This window comes from Homo sapiens, chromosome 9 (assembly GCF_000001405.40).
Source record: "Homo sapiens chromosome 9, GRCh38.p14 Primary Assembly".
NCBI lineage: Eukaryota > Metazoa > Chordata > Mammalia > Primates > Hominidae > Homo > Homo sapiens.
This window is the reverse complement of record NC_000009.12, coordinates 124,216,283-124,235,790: the sequence shown is the minus strand read 5'-3', so window position 1 is coordinate 124,235,790 and position 19,508 is coordinate 124,216,283. Positions and strand designations below refer to the sequence as shown.

The 19,508-nt window shown below is 47.8% G+C and overlaps 3 annotated features.

Annotated features, from left to right (window-relative positions):
* Positions 16,682–17,041: an enhancer, noted in NCBI's record as "active region_28968". NCBI's record gives its function as "activates an Ori minimal core promoter by ATAC-STARR-seq in GM12878 lymphoblastoid cells {active_cell/tissue: GM12878}" and the evidence as "EXISTENCE:reporter gene assay evidence [ECO:0000049][PMID:35858748]".
* Positions 17,612–17,771: an enhancer, noted in NCBI's record as "active region_28967". NCBI's record gives its function as "activates an Ori minimal core promoter by ATAC-STARR-seq in GM12878 lymphoblastoid cells {active_cell/tissue: GM12878}" and the evidence as "EXISTENCE:reporter gene assay evidence [ECO:0000049][PMID:35858748]".
* Positions 18,681–18,760: an enhancer, noted in NCBI's record as "active region_28966". NCBI's record gives its function as "activates an Ori minimal core promoter by ATAC-STARR-seq in GM12878 lymphoblastoid cells {active_cell/tissue: GM12878}" and the evidence as "EXISTENCE:reporter gene assay evidence [ECO:0000049][PMID:35858748]".

The window sequence follows — 19,508 nt, the reverse complement described above, 5'->3', positions numbered from 1 at the left end:
TTCACATATTTCTATTAGCTTTGTAGTATACTTTTCTATGTAGATACCATGTTCTCTACAAACACAGTTTCACTTAATCCTTTCCAATCTGCCATTTATTTACATATTTATTTATTTGCTTGTTTGTTGTATTGTACTATCTAGGACATCTAGTACAATGTTGAATAAAAGTGGCAACAGTAGAGATCTTTGCATTGTTCCCAATCTTAGTGGGAAAGCAATCTTTCATTATTAAGTATAGCGTTAGCTGTAGGTCTTATTGTAGATGTTATTTATCTGATTGTGAAATTTCCCTTCTATTTCCAGTTTGCTGAAAATTTCTTTTGTAAAAATCATGAGTAAATTTTTATCAAATGTTTTTTCTGCCTCTATTAAGATGATCATATAGTTTTTCTCTTGCCACTGCACTCCAGCCTGGGCGACAGAGCGAGATTCTGTCTCAAAAAAAAAAAAAAAAAAAAAAAAGGATGACTATATAGTTTTTCTTTTTATGTCTATTGATATGTTGAGTTACATTGATTTATTTTTGAATGTTGGACCAACCTTGCATTCCTGAGATAAACCCTACTTGGTCTTCATATATTATCCTTTCTGTACGTTACTAGATTTGATTTGCTAATGTTTTGTTAAAGATTTTTGTATCTGTATTCATTAGGGATATAGGCCTATAGCTTTCTTTTCTTGTATCTTTGTCATGCTTTAGTATCAGGGTAATTCTGAGTTCATAGAATTAGTTAGGAGTTTTGCTCTCTCCTTCTACGTTCTGGAAGAGTTTCTGTAGAATTAATATTTCTTTTAAAATAAATTTAACTAATAAAATTCACCAGTGAAGCCATCTGGGCTGGGAAATTTTTTCATGAGAAAGTTTTTACTATGAATTTCTATTCCTTAATTGATGTATAGGACTATTTGGGTTTTCTGTTTCTTCTTTTTTTATGTATATCAAAAATAGACTTTATTTGGCAATGGCGTATTTCAAGCATGAACACCATATTTTGGAAAACAATAGATTTGACACATATTTGTTACCTAATGTTTTCACAGCAGAAGGCTAGAACAAAATTTGACTTGCTTTCCACAGCTTTTAGAAATTTTTAACCGAGAATATCACTAAACAGCATGAAAGACATTTTCTTGGTGAGGCACTACTTTGCCAATCTTTTTTCACTCCTTTTTTTTTCCTTTCCATGTTTCTTTCTCAGCTTTTCTTACTATTTTTGCTTGGTTTTTAATACTTCAGCCTATTTCATAGACCTCCCAGTGACACCCTTAGGTGTTGCTTTATTTAAACAGTGTACTCAAAGCCAAACATATTATGGCTGGACACAGTGGCTCACGCCTGTCATCCTGGCACTTTGGGAGGCCGAGGAGGAAAGATCACTTGAGGTCAGGAGTTTAAGACCAGCCCGACCAACATGGTAAAACCCCATCTCTACTAAAAATACAAAAATTAGCTGGGTAGGTGTGATGTCACACACCTGTAATCCCAGCTACTCGGGATGCTGAGCCAGGAGAATCACTTGAACCCAGGAAGTGGAGGTTGCAGTGAGCCAAGATTGCTTCACTGCACTCCAGCCTGGGCCACAGAATGAAACCCTGTCTTACAAAAAAAAAAAAAAGACCGGGTGTGGTGGCTCACGCCTGTAATCCCAGCACTTTGGGAGGCTGAGGTGAGTGGATCACTTGAGGTCAGGAGCTCAAGACCAGGCTGCCCAATATGGCAAAACTCTGTCCCTTCTAAAAATACAAAAATCAGCTGGGCGTGGTGGCACACACCTGTAATCCCAGGTACTCGGGAGGCTGAGGCATGAGAATGGCTTGAACTGGTGAGGTAAAGGTTGCAGTGAGCTGAGATCGTGCCACTGCATTCCAGCCTGGGCAACAGAGCTAGACTCTGTCTCAAAAAAAAAAAAAAAGCCAACACATTTTATTATTTCAATGCTGATGACAGTTTTATTGGTTTTGCTACATATATGCTAACATGAAATCACTAACATACATATTCACATAATAAAATTTTAGGCCGGGCGTGGTGGCTCATGCCTGTAATCCCAGCACTTTGGGAGGCTGAGGCAGGAGGATCACAAGGTCAGGAGATTGAGACCATCGTGGCTAACATGGTGAAACCCCGTCTCTACTGAAAATACAAAAAATTAGCCAGGCGTCGTGGTGGGTGCCTGTAGTCCCAGCTGCCGGGTAGGCTGAGGCAGGAGAATGGCGTGAACCTGGGAGGTGGAGCTTGCAGTGAGCCTAGATGGCACCACTGTACTCCAGCCTGGGCGACAGAGTGAGACTCCGTCTCAAAAAAAAAAAAAAAAAAAAAAAATTAACTGCTAGTTTCTCAAACTAAAAGAGAGAAAAAGTAATGTTTTCCCTCTTTTTTTAAACTTGTATTTTTGGTTTGGGGGTACATGTGAAGGTTTGTTACATAGGTAAACATGTGTCATGGGGGTTTGTTGTACAGGTTATTTCATCACCCAGCTATGAAGCCCAGTACCCAATAGTTATCTTTTCCGCTTCCCTTTGTTTCTTCTTGAGAACTTTGCTAGTTTGTGTCTTTCAAGGAATATGCCCACTTCATCTAAGTTGTCAAATTTGTGGTCATAACTTTGGGCACAATACTTCCTTATTATCTTTTTAATGGTCACAGGATGTGTAGGGATGCCCTCTCTTTCTTTCTTTTTTTTTTTTTTTTTTTTTTTTTTTGAGACAAGGTCTTGCTCTGTCACCCAGGCTGGAGTGTAATGGCGCTATCATAGCTCACTGCAGCCTTGACCTCCTAGACTCAAGGGATTCTCCCACCTCAGCCTCCCAAGTAGCTAAGACTACAAACATGAGCCACCACACCCAGCGAATTTTTTTACTTTTTGTAGAGACAGGGTCTCGCTGTGTTGCCCAGGCTGGTTTTGAATTCCTGGCTTTAAGCAATCCTCCTGCCTCAGCCTCCCAAAGTGTCAGGATTACAGGCAGAGCCACTGCACCCAGGCTTTCATTTTTCTTGTTGGTAATTTGTGTCTTTTTTTTTTTCTTTGAGATGGAGTCTTGCTCTGTCGCCCAGGCTGGAGTGCAGTGGCACTGTCTCGGCTCACTGCAAACTCCACCTCCTGGGTTCAAGCAATTCTCCTGCCTCAGCCTCCCGAGTAGCTGGGACTTCAGGCACACGCCACCACATCTGGCTAATTTTTTGTATTTTTAGTAGAGACGGGGTTTCACTACATTAGACAGGATGGTCTCCATCTCCTCCCCTCGTGATCCTCCCACCTCGGCCTCCCAAAGTGCTGGGATTACAGGCATGAGCCACTGCACCTGGCCCGTGACTTTCTCTTTTCTACTGATTGAAGATGAAGTTTATCAATGTTGTTGATGTTTTCAAAGAGGCAGCTTGTGGTTTCATTTATTTTCTCTCTTGTTTTTCTGTTTTCTAGTCATTGATTTCTACTCTTATCTTATTATTTCTTTCTTTCTACCTGCTTTGGGTTTAATTTGCTCTTCTTTATCTAGTTCCTAAAGGTGGAAGCTTAGCAAATGTATTTATTTTGGGACTTTCTTCCTTTTGAATAAAGCCATTTAATGTTATAACTTTCCCTTTATTGTATTGCTTTATCTGTATCACATAGGCTTAGATATGTTACATTTTCATTGTTATTCAGCTCAAAATATTTTCTAGTTTTCTTTGTGATTTCTTTCTATATATATATATATATATATATATATATATATATATATATATATATACTTTTTTTTTTTTGAGACTGAGTCTTGATCTGTCAATCAGGCTGGAATGCATTGGCACGATCTTGGCTCACTGCAACCTCCGCTTCCTGGGTTCAAGCAATTCTTGTGCCTCAGCCTCCCCAGTAGCTGGGATTACAGGCATGTGCCATCACACCTGGCTAATTTTTGTATTTTTTGTAGAGACAGGGTTTCACCAGGTGGGCCAGGCTGATCTCGAACTCCTGACATTAAGCGATCTGCCTGCCTCGGCCTCCCAAAGTGCTGGGATTACAGGCATGAGCCACCGCACCTGGCTTTCTTTCTATATATTCTTTGTTGATGTATACAGGCATACTAAAAGTTTTTTAAAATCCACAGGTGAAAAGGATGCATAACAACTTCTAGATGGGTCTTATTGCTGGGAGTGAAGGGTAGATGGAAATGGGATAAGAAAAGCGGTAGATATTAACAATGCTCACCACCATGTCAGTTCTCTTCTGAGCACATGAGAGGATTATACTTCACTTCCCCTTCGAAGCTGGACATGGACACATGACTTGCTTTAGCCAATGAAATGTGAGGAGAACTGACACATGCCGCTTCCAAATGGAAACATCTAAGAGCCAGCACCTGAGTCTTCTTGCTCCCTTCCTTACCTGGTGAATCTTGAAGCCTTTTGCTGAGATCACAGCATCATAAATAGTGGAGCATCCCTCAGACTGGGTTCCTAAGAGACTACAATGAACATAGCCCAATGTAGTCAACCCTCACTGGATCGAGAATGCGATAGAAGCAGACCTTTGTTGTTTAAAGCAACTGAAATTTGGGGTTTGTTTGTTACTACAGCATAACCTAGCCTTTCCTGGCTAACATGGGGACCTTTGATTATATTTGTAAGTTTTTTGTTTGTTTGTTTGTTTGTTTGTTTTTTGAGACAGAGTCTCGCTCTGTTGCCCACGCTGGAGTGCAGTGGCGTGATCTTGGCTCACTGCAACCTCTGCCTCCTGGTTCAAGCAATTCTCCTGCCTCAGCCTCTTGAGTAGCTAGGATTACAGGCACATGCCACCACACCCAGCTAATTTTTGCCTTTTTAGTAGAGACGGGATTTTGCCATGTTGGTCAGGCTGGTCTCGAACTCCTGACCTCTTGATTTGCCCACCTCGGCCTCCCAAAGTGCCGTGGTATGAGCCACCGCGCCCAGCCAGTTTTTATTTTTTTACGAGCCTAAAGTTTCATTTTTTAACAGGGGTAGCGGGTACATGAGTATTTGTCATATAATTTTCTACACCTCCCGTATGTTTTAAGTAACTGTTTAAAAAAATTTATTTGTATATTTTTTGAAGACAGAATCTCTCTCTGTCACCCAGGCTGGAGTGCCATGACCTGATCACCACTCACTGCAACCTCCGCCTCCCAGGATCAAGCGATTATGGTGCCTTAGCCTCCCAAATAGCTGGGATTACAGGTGCACACCACCATGCCTGGCTAATTTTTGTATTTTTCATAAAGATAGGGTTTTGCAATGTTGGCCAGGCTGGTCTCAAACTCTTGGCCTTAAGTGATCCTCTTACCTCGGCCTACCAAAGTGCTGGGATTACAGACGTGAGCCACTGAGCCTGGTCTGTTTTAAGTAACGTTTAAAGGAAAAACAACATTAGAGGAGAGGGAGAAGAGAAGAAGGAGGAGAAGGCACCTGGGGAGGTGGGTCCTTTTTTCTATTCCCCAAGTCGTTTCTCCATCTATCCTCTGGGTTTGGGAAGTCAGTGGGGAAAGGTTTGACTGTTTCTCCAGCCAGATAATCATCTATGAGCAGTGGCCCCTCACCCTCACTCTGCTTGTCACCATCTGGTACATTACATATTTAGTGTATGGTTATTGTCTCTCTCCCCTTGAGAAGAGGGACTTTATTTTATAACCCCAATGCCTAGAACAATGCCTGGCACACAGAAGTCACTCAACACCTGCTTTTTTTTTTTTTTTTCTTTTTTTTTGAGATGGAGTCTCGCTCTGTCCAGGCTGGAGTGCAGTGGCCCAATCTAGGCTCACTGCAACCTCCACCTCCCAGGTTCAAGCAATTCTCTGCCTCAGCCTTCTGAGTAGCTGGGATTACAGGCGCCCGCCACCACGCGTGGCTAATTTTTATATTTTTAGTAGAGTTGGGGTTTCACCATCTTGGCCAGGCTTGTCTTGAATGCCTGACCTTGTGATCCACCCACCTCGGCCTCCCAAAGTGCTGGGATTACACGCATGAGCCACCATGACCGGCCAATACCTGCTTATTAAATGAGCACGTGCAAAAGATCGCCTCCCTCACCCATGTCTGCCTAGGGAGGACAGTGACCACGTTCTGTCCCTATTCCATGTTCCTTCTCACTTGCCTTTCCCCCAGAGTGAACACCCAGTGGAACTGATGAAAGTGTAAGCAGCTCTTTACTCAAAGGTCCAGATATTTGGCTAGGCATGGTGGCTCATGCCTGTAATCCAGCACTTTGGGAGGCCGAGGTGGGTGGATCACCTGAGGTCAGAAGTTAGACCAGCCTGGCCAACATGGTGAAACCTCGTCTCTACTAAAAATACAAAAATTAGTTGGGTGTGGTGGTGGGCCCCTTTAATCCCAGCTACTTGGGAGGCTGAGGCAGGAGAATCGCTTGAACCCAGCAGGGGGCAGAGGTTGCAGTGAGCCAAGATCATGCCATTGCACTCCAGCCTGGATGACAGAGCAGATTCATCTACCAAAAAAAAAAGTCCAGATATTTGTTCCAACACCATGTTTCTGTGTTTTGTGTGTGCATATGCATGTGTGAGTCTGTCCGTCTGGGGCTGGGATGAGGGGACTAGGGGCTGTGCCCCTCATGCAGCCATTTCCTTCTACTCTATTCCCTGCCCAGGTAGGAGTCTGGTTAAGTGCACCCCGAGAAGCATGGAGAGACCCCAACTCCCCATCGGGGCCACCCTTCAGCCTCCGGGAGGGGCCTGGAACTCGGCTTTCTCCAGGAGATTTGGGGAACATGTTACCGGGGTCCTTCAGCGGCCTCTCATCCACTTCTTGGCTGCAGAAATTCCCTGGCCACCTGGGCACGGAGACACTCTGGCTCCACCAGCCCACGCAGAAGCCTGAACTCATGTAATTAGACATAATGACACATGGCGGGAGCTTCCAGAATCTCACAATCTAATGACACACCCACCTCCCAACCCACCTCAGGGGCCAGCAGAGCTCCTAATTAGGTCTGGCGCCAGCAGGTGGGAGATCCAAGGGTTGGGGGAGCAAGGAGAGAATCCTGGCCTTGGGGTTTGTCAACCTGTGTGCCAAGTCCAGTTTGATTACTTTTTGACTATGAGGCGCTGGGCAAGTCAATTCACTTCTTCAAGCCTCCATTTTCTCATCTGTAAAATGGGGTTTTGTATTTACACCACAAAGTGCTGTTGTGAGGAGTGTGAGTTCCCTCCTGCTGGGAGGCTGTCAGTGGGTGGGTCTGGGGGAGACTGGCCTGCCATGCCCAAGGCCAGGGCCTGTGTCCTGGGGTGGGACCTCTTTCAGGTGTAGGGGAAGCTGCCACACCTTCAAAGGCCGATTGGACAAAAGGCAGTTCTCCAAAACTCATTGAAGGACCACTGCCTCATATTACCGAATTGACTGGTTTTTCAAAAACTTGTTTAAGAAATATTCTTTTTGGCTGGCATGGTGGCTCACTCCTGTAATCCCAGCACTTTGGGAGGCCGAGGAGGGTGATTCACCTGAGGTCAGGAGTTCGAGATCAGCTTGGCCAACATGGCGAACAAAACCCCATCTCTATGGGTGTGGTGGCACACACCTCTAATCCCAGCTACTCAGGAGGCTGAGGCAGGAGAATCACTTGAACCCGGGAGGCGGAGGTTGCAGTGAGCCGAGACTGCGCCATTGCACTCCAGCCTGGGTGACAAGAGTGAAACTGTGTCTCAAAAAAAAAAAAAAGAAAAATTTTAAAATTATGTTTAATGTACATTCTTCCAATGGCTATATTCCATTTTAAGGACTATTTAATTTGTCCAAAGTTCATAATACATTTGCTCTTCTAGTGCTCCTCCTCCTCTTCTTCTTCTTCTTCTTCTTCTTCTTCTTCTTCTTCTTCTTCTTCTTCTCCTTCTCCTTCTCCTCCTCCTCCTCCTCCTCCTCCTTCTTCTTTTAGATGGAGTCTCGCTCTGTCACCAGACTGGAGTGCAGTGGCACGATCTCAGCTCACTGCAACCTCTGCCTCCTGGGTTCAAGTGATTCTCCTGCCTTAGCTTCCTGAGTAGCTGGAACTACGGGCATGTGCCACCACATCCAGCTAATTTTTGTATTTTTAGTAGAGACAGGGTTTTACCATGTTAGCCAGGATAGTCTCAATCTCTTGACCTCGGGATCCGCCCACCTCAGGCTCCCAAAGTGCTGGGATTATAGGCATGAGCCACTGTACCCAGTCTATTCTTCTTAAATAATATCCTATGAATATGTTTTTCACAGTATCACATGGGAACTTTAGCTTTTAGACTGATTGTTTTTAAAAACCTCTGAAAAAAAGTAATTTTCTGTCTTATCAGAACTTTAGCATCTGAAGGATCCTTTGAAGATTTTGTTAAATGGTCAACTCAACCAATTATCCAAATTTACTGCTTATCTCAAAATGTATTTCTCTTTTTTTTTTTGAGACTGAGTCTTGTTCTGCCCCACCGGCTGGGGTGCAGTGGCATGATCTCGGCTCACTGCAACGTCTGCCTCCTGGGCTCAAGTGATTCTCCTGCCTCAGCCTCCTGAGTAGCTGGGACTATAGGAGTGTGCCCCCACGCACGGCTAATTTTTGTATTTTTGGTAGATATGGGGTTTCACCGTGTTGGCCAGGCTGGTCTCGAACTCCTGACCGCAAGTGATCCACCCACCTCGGCCCCCCAAAGTGCTGGGATTACAGGCATGAGCCACTGTGCCTGGCCTAAACATGTATTTCTTTTAATTATATTTTTATATTTTGATTTCACTTTCAAAAAATTTTACATGCATTTTGTTCTGCAAGACTTAACAATGAAAAACAGCTGTCTCCTGTCTAATCCATCTTTGCTCCCAGTTCCCAACCATCAGAGGTAACTGCTTTTTAACAAGAAACAAGTTTCTTTTTTATTTGCCTTTATGCTTCCACTGTTATCACATGTCTATACCGTTATTTCTGGACTTTCAGTTTTATGTATAATCTACTCTCTTCTTACTTTGGAAGATTAGAATTTGCTTCCCATACCACGCTGCCCCTACTTCCCCTGGTACCATCTTCCTTATATGATCATCTCATCTCATAATTTTTGGTTAGATAAATATTGGGGGTTTATTTTGTGGCCATGTGAACAGTGTTGATAGCCCAGCAATGTAGAGTACTGTGATTGCATTTATTCTCTTGTGCAGCTTTCTGTTTTTCCTAGAATTGTTCATTTTCTGTCTATTTATTTATTTAGAGATAGGCTCAAGCTATATTGCCCAGGCTGAACTGGAACTCCCGGGCTCCAGTGCTAAGCTAATATCCTGTTCTTCACTCCATTTACATCCCTAGTTTTAACCTGGTTCCATCGATGTTTCTTACCTGAAATAATAATTATGATCATATTTGACAAAGGTGGTTTTCCTTCTTTCTGTATGATTTGACATTCTACTGTCAGGAAAAGCTTTCTCTTCTGTCCGGTTACTTATTCGTTTTTTTGTTTATAGCAGTTGGAGTCAGGGGTTTCTATTTTATTCAGTGGGTTATCATTCATTGCTATCATTATTAATTTTGATTTTTCAATTACACCAGATTTGGTGTGGCCCCATCCAGCTGGCCCCTGTGTCCCTTTGACATGTCCACACTATGCTTTGAATGCTTAGTGACTTTTTGCCACAACAAGGTGTTCCAGGTTCATCTTGTTCTTCCTCTCTCCCAGCCAGGACTCAGCCTTCCTCCAAATGGCATTTTGAAAACAAGATCTTGGCACTGGGTATGTTCATTGCTACCAGAGCATTGCTGCTCCCATACCTTCTTGGTGAACAGAGCTGAAAATACACACACACACACACACATCAAATATGCATATATGTATACACATATGCATGCAGGTGCATATACATGTATATATATAGACACACCTTTCTGTCTATATTCTCTCTCTCTCCACATAAACACAGATTCTCACCATGTGTTCTCACTGAGAGCTCCAACTCCAGCCCAACACTATGGGCTTCTTCAGTTTCCTCCTTTTTTTTTTTTTCTGAGACGGATTCTTACTCTGTCACCCAGGCTGGAGTGCAGTGGTGTGATCTCGACTTACTGTAACCTCTGCCTCCTGGGTTCAAGTGATTCTCCTGCCTCAGCCTCCTGAGTATCTGGGATTATAGGCACACGCCACCACGCATGGCTAATTTTTGTATTTTTTAGTAGAGATCAGGTTTCACCACGCTGGACAGGCTGGTCTTGAACTCCTGACGTCAAGTGATCCGCCCGCCTCGGCTTCCCAAAGTGCTTGGATTACAGGTGTGAGCCATTGCACCTGGCTTTTTTTTTGTTGTTGTTGTTTTGTTTTTTTTGAGACAGAGTCTCACTCTTGTTGCCTAGGCTGGAGTACAGTGTCACAATCTCGGCTCACTGCAACCTCTGCCTCCCGGGTTCAAGCAATTCTTCTTCCTCAGCCTCCTGTGTAGCTGGGACTACAGGTGCACACCACCATGTCTGGCTAATTTTTGTATTTTTTAGTAGAGACGGTGTTTCACCATGTTGGCCAGGCTGGTCTTGAACTCCTGACCTCAGGTGGTCCGCCTGCCTCCGCCTCCCAAAGTGCTGAGATTACTCGCGTGAGCCACCGCACCCAGCTGGTTTCCTCCTTTCTGCATCTGTGCCTCCCTGCCTCATCAAGGAGAAACCTGAATCCTCTTGTCCATGCTAAGCTATACCTCTGCTCTGCCCCGGTGCATACCCATCTTTGATTGCAGCAGGCTGCCGCCCAGGTCCAGCCTCACAAGGGCCACTGTGACTGTCATCCTCGAGCCTCATGATTTTGACTGGATGCACTGAGAAAGGTAGGCAGGCAGGAGGAAGAAAGGAAAGAAGGGAGAGATACAGAAAGGCAGCGAAGGGGAGAGGGAAAAGACAGGCAGGCATGGGATGGGTTTTTAAAGCTTTAGAAGATTTCTTGGATTTTCAGGAATGTTCAGTTTGTCTCTACCCCATGTCCCTGATGCTGCCACTGGAGGGGAACAGAATAGAGATCTAAGCCCAGTCTGGGCTGCAGGTCCCAGAGGTGAGAGGGATCTGAAGGCCCCAGATCCTGACCCCCCGTAGCCATGATGGCCTTGCTAATTCATTTCATGCACACAGTGGGAACTTTTACAAATTAAAACAAAATGAAAAAAAGCTCACTGGGGTGGCTCATGCCTGTAGTCCTAGCACTTCAGGAGGCCAAGGTGAGCAGATCGCTTGAGACCAGGGGTTTGAGACCAGCCTGGGCAACATGGCGAAACCCCATCTCTACAAAACATACAAAAATTAGCCGGGTGTGGTGGTGCATGCCTGTGGTCCCGGCTACCTGGGAGACTGAGGCAGGAGGATGGGTGGAGTCCGGGAAGTTGAGGCTGCAGTGAGTTGAGATTGCACCACTGCATTCCAGCCTGGGTGACAAGAGCAAGGCCCTGTCTCAAAAATAAATAAATAAATAAAATGTTTTAAGTCGGGATAGATTTGTTAAGCTCAATGATCTGGTGATATGGCACAGTGACCCTTTGACTAACTGACTTAGCCACGGTAGGTGTGGAAAGGGAAAGTGGTCTCTACTCACGGGCTCTGGGGTCCCTTCCTTTTGCACCCACGGTAGCTCTGCTCATTTGCATTAGTACTGTCTGGCTTTGGATTATATTTCTTTTGATAAAGGGTTTGAAAGAAAACTGAGCTGGGCGCGGTAGCTCACACCTGTAATCCCAGCACTTTGAGGGGCCGAGGCGGGCAGATCACCTGAGGTCAGGAGTTTGAGACCAGACCGGCTAACATGGTGAAACCCTGCCTCTACTAAAAATATGAAAAAATTAGCTGGGTGTGGTGGCACGTGCCTATAATCCCAGCTACTCAGGAAGCTGAGGCAGGAGAATCGCTTGAACCCAGGAGGTAGAGGTTGCAGTGAGCTAAGATCACGCCACTGCACTCGAGCCTGGGCCACAGAGTGAGACTCCATCACAAAAAAAAAGAAAAGAAAAGAAAGGAAACTGAGCCTGAGTTCCAGTCCTCCTGGGCCTCCTTGCTGGGTGACCCTGGGCAAGCCTTTCCTTCCCTGAGCTTCAGTTTCCTATCTGGGAAAGGACAGGTTGGATGCTGAGTTCTGTGCATCTCAGTGTCAGGTGTGTTGCACACATAGCTGGGGACCAGCCACCAGTGCCCAGGGAGGGCCACCAGTTCCCCAGGCAGGGGAGGGAGGAACCACTTTCCCCACCCTCTTCCAGAGAAACAGGTCACTGGCTGGGCTTGGGCCTGCAGCCAAGGGGAACTCAGAGACAATAAGCCCAAGTCACCCAGCTGGCAGGTTGTGCAATTTCCACCAGCGCCTGCAAACAAGATGTTGGCCCCTGAACTTTGGACTCTGGGCAGCCTTCTCCCCACCCCTCAGACCTAAACCACCCAGTTTAGGGGACAAGGCTGGGGGTGGGCAGGGTGCTCACTTAGTTCCAAGGACAGCCAGGTGGCTCTGGGCGCCTTGAAGAGAGAGGGTCCCACCAAGGAGGGTGTCAGAGCACCTGGCTGTGGGGAGTCAGTGGAGGAGGCTGGCCATTGGGGAACTGTCAGAGTGTGTGTGTGTGTATGTGTGTGTGTGTCTGTGTCTGCATGTGGACAGGCGGCACCTGTGAGCTGAGTTGCCTCTGCCTATGCATGGAGCCATGGTTACTCTCAGGGGAGTGACATCAGCAGATTGTCGGATGCTGGATGCTGCTTTGTGACTGCAGGGTGGTCCATGCACGAGTCTGTGAGGGTATGATGTGTGTCCTCGTGTGTGAGTCATCCTGGCTATTGATAGGCGTGTGTGTTATCTGTTTGCATGCATGTATGTAATGGGGCCCATGGCAGAGTGCAGATAGGTGAGACTGCACACACGTGTGATTCTGTGGGGGCACGTGCAGGTGTGTGGCTCTGATTGTGTGCCGATGAGTGTGCATGTGGGTGTAAATACACGCATGTGTGCACAATGGTGGGTGGGCATGTTTACCATCAAGGATACGTGTGTGTGTGTGCATGCCTGTGTGAGCCCCATTTGCTGGGCCTGTGGTCTCTGTGGTGGTACTATGGTTTGTAAACACGCATGACCTCTTTACTACACATGAGTGCAGGTAACATGGATGTCCACGCAAGTGCCAGTGTAGGACCCGTGTCCCTGGAGCTTTGGCCCAGCTTGTCACACGCTTCACCCCCTGTGCCCCTACCAACCTGTCAATTACTTTCATGCTTCCAGCAAGTCTCTATTCTGAACCTCAGTTTTCCCATCTGAACTGCATAGGAGGAGGTTGGACTGGATGAGCCCTCAGGCTCCTCCTACCTGTGCAGCGACTTGGATACCGCGTCACAAAGAACATGCAAACATGAGGAAAGTGAGAGCCCAGAACGCCTAGAATTTACCTCAGTCCCTGGCTGAGGGACAGGAAGCTTTGAAGTGACAGATGAAGCTAGGGACCCAGATCCTGGGATAGGGCAGGCCCAGCAAGGGCCTGAGGGACCCACTGTCTTCCGTCTGGTGAGCCACCACCATGGGCTGGAGGGAGGGGACTGACTGATGGGACCTCTGCCGGGGAACCTGGAAGGGCAGATGGGAGTGGGGAGGCCAAGGTGGGAGGACATCTGTGAGCAGCCTCCAAAAGGAATCCCAGAGACACTAGGTGGGAGGCAGTACCACCCCTCTACTCACAGAAAGGAGTCTGTCCCCACTCCTTTGTTCCTTAAGGAGTGGAACCCTGGGGCAGCTGTCTTGACACAGAACGAGCCTTCATTCCCCTTAGGGCTGGTTCCAATATTTGAGGCTCCAGCCTGATTTTCAACAGATGCTGAAGGGGAAGGAATGGATACCCTGCTGAATGCCTCCCCTGTACTAGGCACTTTGCTAGTGTGCCAGGAAGGGCTTCTTTGCCCCCTTCACTACTTTCTTCTCTCCCCTGGTTCTCGACAGCTCCACCCACCCTTTGTGCAATAAGTCTTCAGGAAGGTGAAGTAGAGAGACAGCAGAGTAGCGCAATGCTACTCCACCTATGTCACAAGAGACAGTCAGTGGTAGCATGAGAAAGCTTTGCTGTCTTGTAGTAAGTTTACTGCAAAGAGCTAGAAGGAGCTAGAGCCTCTTCCATTAGTCCCGCCTGTGACATGCCCTCAGGGGTCTGATGCTGCCCCTCTAGGATAAAAACTCTGTAAGTGGAGAAGAGAGAGACAATTCTTGGGCCAAAGATGCCCGCTGTAAAATTCAAGGCCAGTCAGAAAAACAGAAACCACTCTAGGTATTTCCAACAGAGGAAATTTAATATAGGGAATTGGTTACCTGGAAGAGGGAAGAGCTGAAAAGCCAAACAGCAAATGGTGAGGCAAGTGCTTGTTCCACAATGGCAAAAGGTGCTACCACTTAGGGGTGGAGAGACAAAAGGAAGAGGCAGTGATACTGCCCAGGAGTAACTTGAATCATCAGAGCCACCTGGAGACTTGGAACTGCAGATGACCGGGTGGTTCTAGAGCAGCCAAAGACACAGAAGAGAGCAGCCTGTGCTGGGGAAAGGCCACTCCCACTCCCTCCCTAAGCAGAGGGAGGGAGAAATACCCAGATTGTCCCCTCCTCCCATGCTCCAATCTCCTGCCAGTGCTTCCCCTTGGCCCAACCTAACAGGAAGCCAGTTGGCAAAGGAAACTGGGAAAAGCAGTTTGCAGGAGAGGGGCAAGCACACAGGACTGCCCAGCACACTTGCCCACGATGCACACTGCAGGGGCTGAGAACGTGTTGGGAAAAGCAAAGAAATACTTGGCAGTGTCCCCAGGACTCTGGGGATATGATTAACTGTTGATCAGAGTTTCATGGACTGAACACACATACGCTTCCAGGGAACACACTGAACACACATACGCTTCCAGTGTGACCTGCTCCGTGAGTGTGGCTTCAAATTGTCTCCACCACAGGCCAACAAATTTAGGACAAGCCTCCCTCCCCATGCTGCAGTGGAGGAAACGGAAGCTTTAGGAAGAGAAGTGCCTTCTACAAGCTCCACGGCTGGAAAATGGGCAAAGTCAGGACTCAAACCCTGGTGACTCCAGGGCCCCAGGCCTGGGAAAAAGGTGAGAAGTCAGGTGTCAGGTGTTACCCTTGGGAGCAGATGCTGGTTATTGATCTGAGTTGGAGGCCCTGGGTAAAATTCTGAGAAGGAGAGCGGCGTTGAGCTTGAGTGAGGCTGACTGGGGAGAGAGCTGTTGATGGTGAAATGGGAAGGGGGCATAGTGTAATGGTTAAGGGTGGGACTTAGGAGCCCAACAGTTTGGTTCAGATCAGCTCTGCCATTTACTAGTTGCGTGACTTGATCTCTCCATGCCTCAGTTTTCTCTTCTGTTAAATAGGAGTCATAGTGATCACAGTACTTGCTTCATAGAACTGTCATGAGAACTAGCGTGTTGCATAAGCGATTGCTAGGATCATTGTTGAGTCCTTACGCTGAGCCAGTACTCTACCAAACACTCTACCTACATTATCCTATTTCATTCTTAAAAACAAAATATCGGCCGGGCACTGTGGCTCACGCCTGTAATCCCAGCACTTTGGGAGGCTGAGGCAGGTGGATAACGAGGTCAGGAGATGGAGACCGTCCTGGCTAACACAGTGAAACCCCGTCTCTACTAAAAATACAAAAAATTAGCTGGGCGTGCTTGCAGGCGCCTGTAGTCCCAGTTACTTGGGAGGCTGAGGCAGGAAAATGGCCTGAACCCGGGAAGCGGAGCTTGCAGTGAGCCGAGATCGCGCCACTGCACTCCAGCCTGGAAGACAGAGTGAGATTCTGTCTCAAAAAAAAATATCGGCCAGGCGCGGTGGCTCACACCTGTAATCTCAGCACTTTGGGAGGCCAAAGTGGGCGGATCACCTGAGGTCAGAAGTTGGAGACCAGCCTGGCCAACATGGCAAAACCTCGTCTCTACTAAAAATACAAAAATTAGCCGGGTGTGGTAGCACATGCCTGTAATCCCAGCTACTAGGGAGGCTGAGGCAGGAGAATTGTTTGAACCCAGGGGGCGGAGGTTGCAGCAAATCGAGATCACGCCACTGCACTCCAGCCTGGGCGACAGAGGGAGATTCCATCTAAAAAATAAAAAAATAAATTAAAAAAGGTCCTTTTTATTCCCATTTTTACATGTGAAAATACTGAAGCTCTGAGACATAAAGCAACTAGGTTGAGGACGAGCATCAGTAGGAAGTAGAATATGACTGCAAAGTCCTATCCCTGGGCGGCTGCACCATTCCCTGTTTTGTTTCTCAGTCCTTCCATTGGAAGACAAGCCCCTGTATTAAATCCCTTCTGTTCAAAACCTAGGGCATTTCAGGCTTCCTGATGAGATGCTGCCTGATACAGTAGTTACTGTTTATTGTGGGTTTCCTGGGAACGGGCACTCTTCTATGCACTTTACATACAGTAATGTATCTAATCATGCCCTGCTCATCCTATGCATTAAGTGCTATGATCTCACTCGACAGCAGAGGAAGGAGAGGGGAAGCCACTTGCCTGGGATCCTGCAGCTCATGAGGGGCAGAGCTGGGGTTTGAGGACATGAGGTTCAAATCCAGAATCCACATCCTGACCCATGGCAGGAGACCACCCTACTTGCTGTTGGCCATCACTACTGCCAGGCAGCAGCCAGCCCACCAGAGCCTGGCCCTGGTGGCAACCAGTTAGCCTCTGTGACCTCCCCATCTGACTCCATCTTCCCCCTCTGCTGTGGACCTTGTCTAATTTCTACCCACTTCAGAGACTAGGACAAAGATGGCATCTCCAAGGCATTCTCTTCTCCAAGCTGAAGACCCCTGTGTCTGGGAGGGGCTGGGAGGTGAGGTGGGGCCTTCCTGGAGGATACTAAAAGGGCTCCTAACCCTGGTGTCTCTTCCCTCCCAGCCTGTCCCTCTTATGCCACTCATGGCATCAATCCGTCCAGAGGGACACTCCGATGACTCACCCACCACAGCACTTTCACTTCCTTCTTCTCCAGAGGAGGCGTCTGACCTGCTGCAGCTGCACTGAAGGGCCTCTTCTCAGGGGCTTCCAAGGCTATAGGGGGCGGCCAGGGGCCCTGCTGCAGCCTTGAGGTCCAGGCCTGGGGCCTAGAGTGCTGCCTCTGTAGGGAGCAGAGTGACCGGAGGGGCTTTGGGCCTCCTTGCTAGAGACTGGCTTCAGCTGAACCCTGTCCAAATTGTCAGTCACCCTCAACACCCATGCAGGGTTGGCACACAGGGAGATGGACCTTGAGTTTTTTTTTGAGACAGAGTCTCACTCTGTCGCCTAGGCTGCAGTGCAGTGCAGTGGTGCGATCACAGTTCACTGCAGTCTCCACTAACGGGGCTCAAGCAATTCTCCCACCTCAGCCTCTCGAGTAGCTGGGATGACAGGTGCATGCCACAACGCCCAGTTAATTTTTGTAGAGATGGGGTTTTACCATGTTGCCCAGGCTGGTCTTGAACTCCTGGGCCCAAGCGATCCGCCCACCTCAGCCTCCAAAAGTATTGGGATTACAAGGGTGAGCCACCATACCCAGCTGACCTGGAGTTTTAAAGCTGGAGTTGTATCTCTCATACTTCCTGATGGCATTGAAGGGACCCATATTCATTCATTCACTCATTCATTTACTCCTTTATTCCCTCATGTAACAAATCTGTCCTGGGCTTCTATATACCAAGCAGTCCCTAGGGTACCAAGAAACCAGGGCTCGCCCTCTGCCCATGAGGAGCTCATGGCCCATCTATGGGTGGGGGTTGTGGGAGTGGCGGGTAGCAGGGCGGATCCATAAATAGAAAACCCCGGTACAGTGAAAGCGGGCCTTGGAGAGGGCTGGGGAAGCCCAGGCAGTGCAGTGGTTGTGGTTAAGTCACAGGGCACCGCAGGGTGGACCTAGGATTTGTGAAGTCTGAAGCTTTTCAATTTTGGAAGCCCCATCTGTAGAAACAGAATACAAAATTAGATTCAAAAGCATTTATTTAGAAGGAGAAAACAAAACCCAAGACAGTATCAAGGGCTTGGAGATACTTCTGAGATCCCTTCACACAGTTTACCAGAAATGTTTACATGGAAATGCTTCCTCATTACAAGCTGGTTTCCCTCTCTCCCTAGAGTACTCTATAGCTCCCAGCTACTCCAGGGGTGCTGGGAAGGGCAAGGCTGAAAATGAAGCTTTGCTAGGGTCACAATGCAGCCTCCTTGGAGCAGGCAAGTTGCACAACACTGATCCCATCCCAGTCTCAGAGGATAGTGCATGGTTCAATGACCTAGCTGTGGAGTCAGACCTGGGTCACACTCCCCACTCAGCCATTTTCTGACTATGCCACCTTGGGGAAGTTGCTCATCTCTGAGCCTTGGTTCACTCGTCTGTAACATGAAGCTATTGATAGAACCACACATTGTGTTTTTGTAAACATTCAATGAGATCATCCATGCAGAGCAGTTCATAAACATGAAGCACTGGATGAACGCCACTGTCACAGTGAATGCCACTATTCATGATGAAGGTCTGTGGCTGTCTTGTCCTGCCTCTCTCTCTCTCTCTCTCTCTCTCTGTGTGTGTGTGTGTGTGTGTGTGTGTGTGTGTGTGTGTGTGTGGTGGGTGGTCAGGGAAGGCTTCCCAGAAGAGGTGACATTGGTGTTGGGCCCTAAAGGAAAATGTAGAGAAGGGCATTCCAGGCAAAGAGAATGGTGCATGAAGTGACTGGTGTCTTGAGGAAGGGAAGAAGCCCAGCCAGCCAGGAGCAACCTAGAGGGATTCTCTAGCCTCTGGGTGGCCATATTAGGGCTGGGCCTGAGCTTCCCAGGCCCTCCTGGTTGCAGCCCCAAGGCTGCAGCCTGGCAGAGGCCAACTGTTGTGTCTGGGTGGGTGGGGGGTGCCCAGCTTGGTCTCTGCTATGCTGGCAGAAGTTTCAGCCTCTCACCTCTCTGCCTCCCCTGTTTCCGGTCCTCCACTTCCTTCCCCTCCACAGACCACAGAGGCGTTTCAGAGGAAGCTGCTACTTATTTTAGCAGTAATCCCCGGACACCCCCACCCACAGCTGCCCCTGGCCCCCTTACAAGGCACCAAGTCACCCTCTGAGCCCCAGCCCACGGCACTCATAAGTGAGGAACAGGCCCTGTCCCCGGGCCAGCCCTGTGCACCCCTTCCCCACAGCACAACAGGGAGCCTTGAAGCTGGGAGATGTGGCTCCAAGTCCGGCTGTGACACTAACTTACTGTATGATCTCCTGAAGTCCCTTCGCCCTGCCAGGCCATGTCCCCATCTGTGACATGAGGCCCAACGGTGGACAGGCCCCGACCTCTGGGCAGAGTATGGGAGTGGGGTAAACATGGGTGCTCTGCCACCCTGCCCCTGGTCTTTCATCCCAGCTAGAAGGATCTGAGAGAGAGTCTTGGGGTAGACTGGAGTGGGGAGCCTGAAGACAAAAGAATCAAATTCAAACTTACCTATGAAAGTGAATTTGTATTCCAAAAGGGCCTGTGCAAGTGAGGAGCCCCAAAGCCGATGCTTTCACAGTGCTATGGCAAACCTGCCTTTAGACAGTGTCCTCAAGTCCTCAGG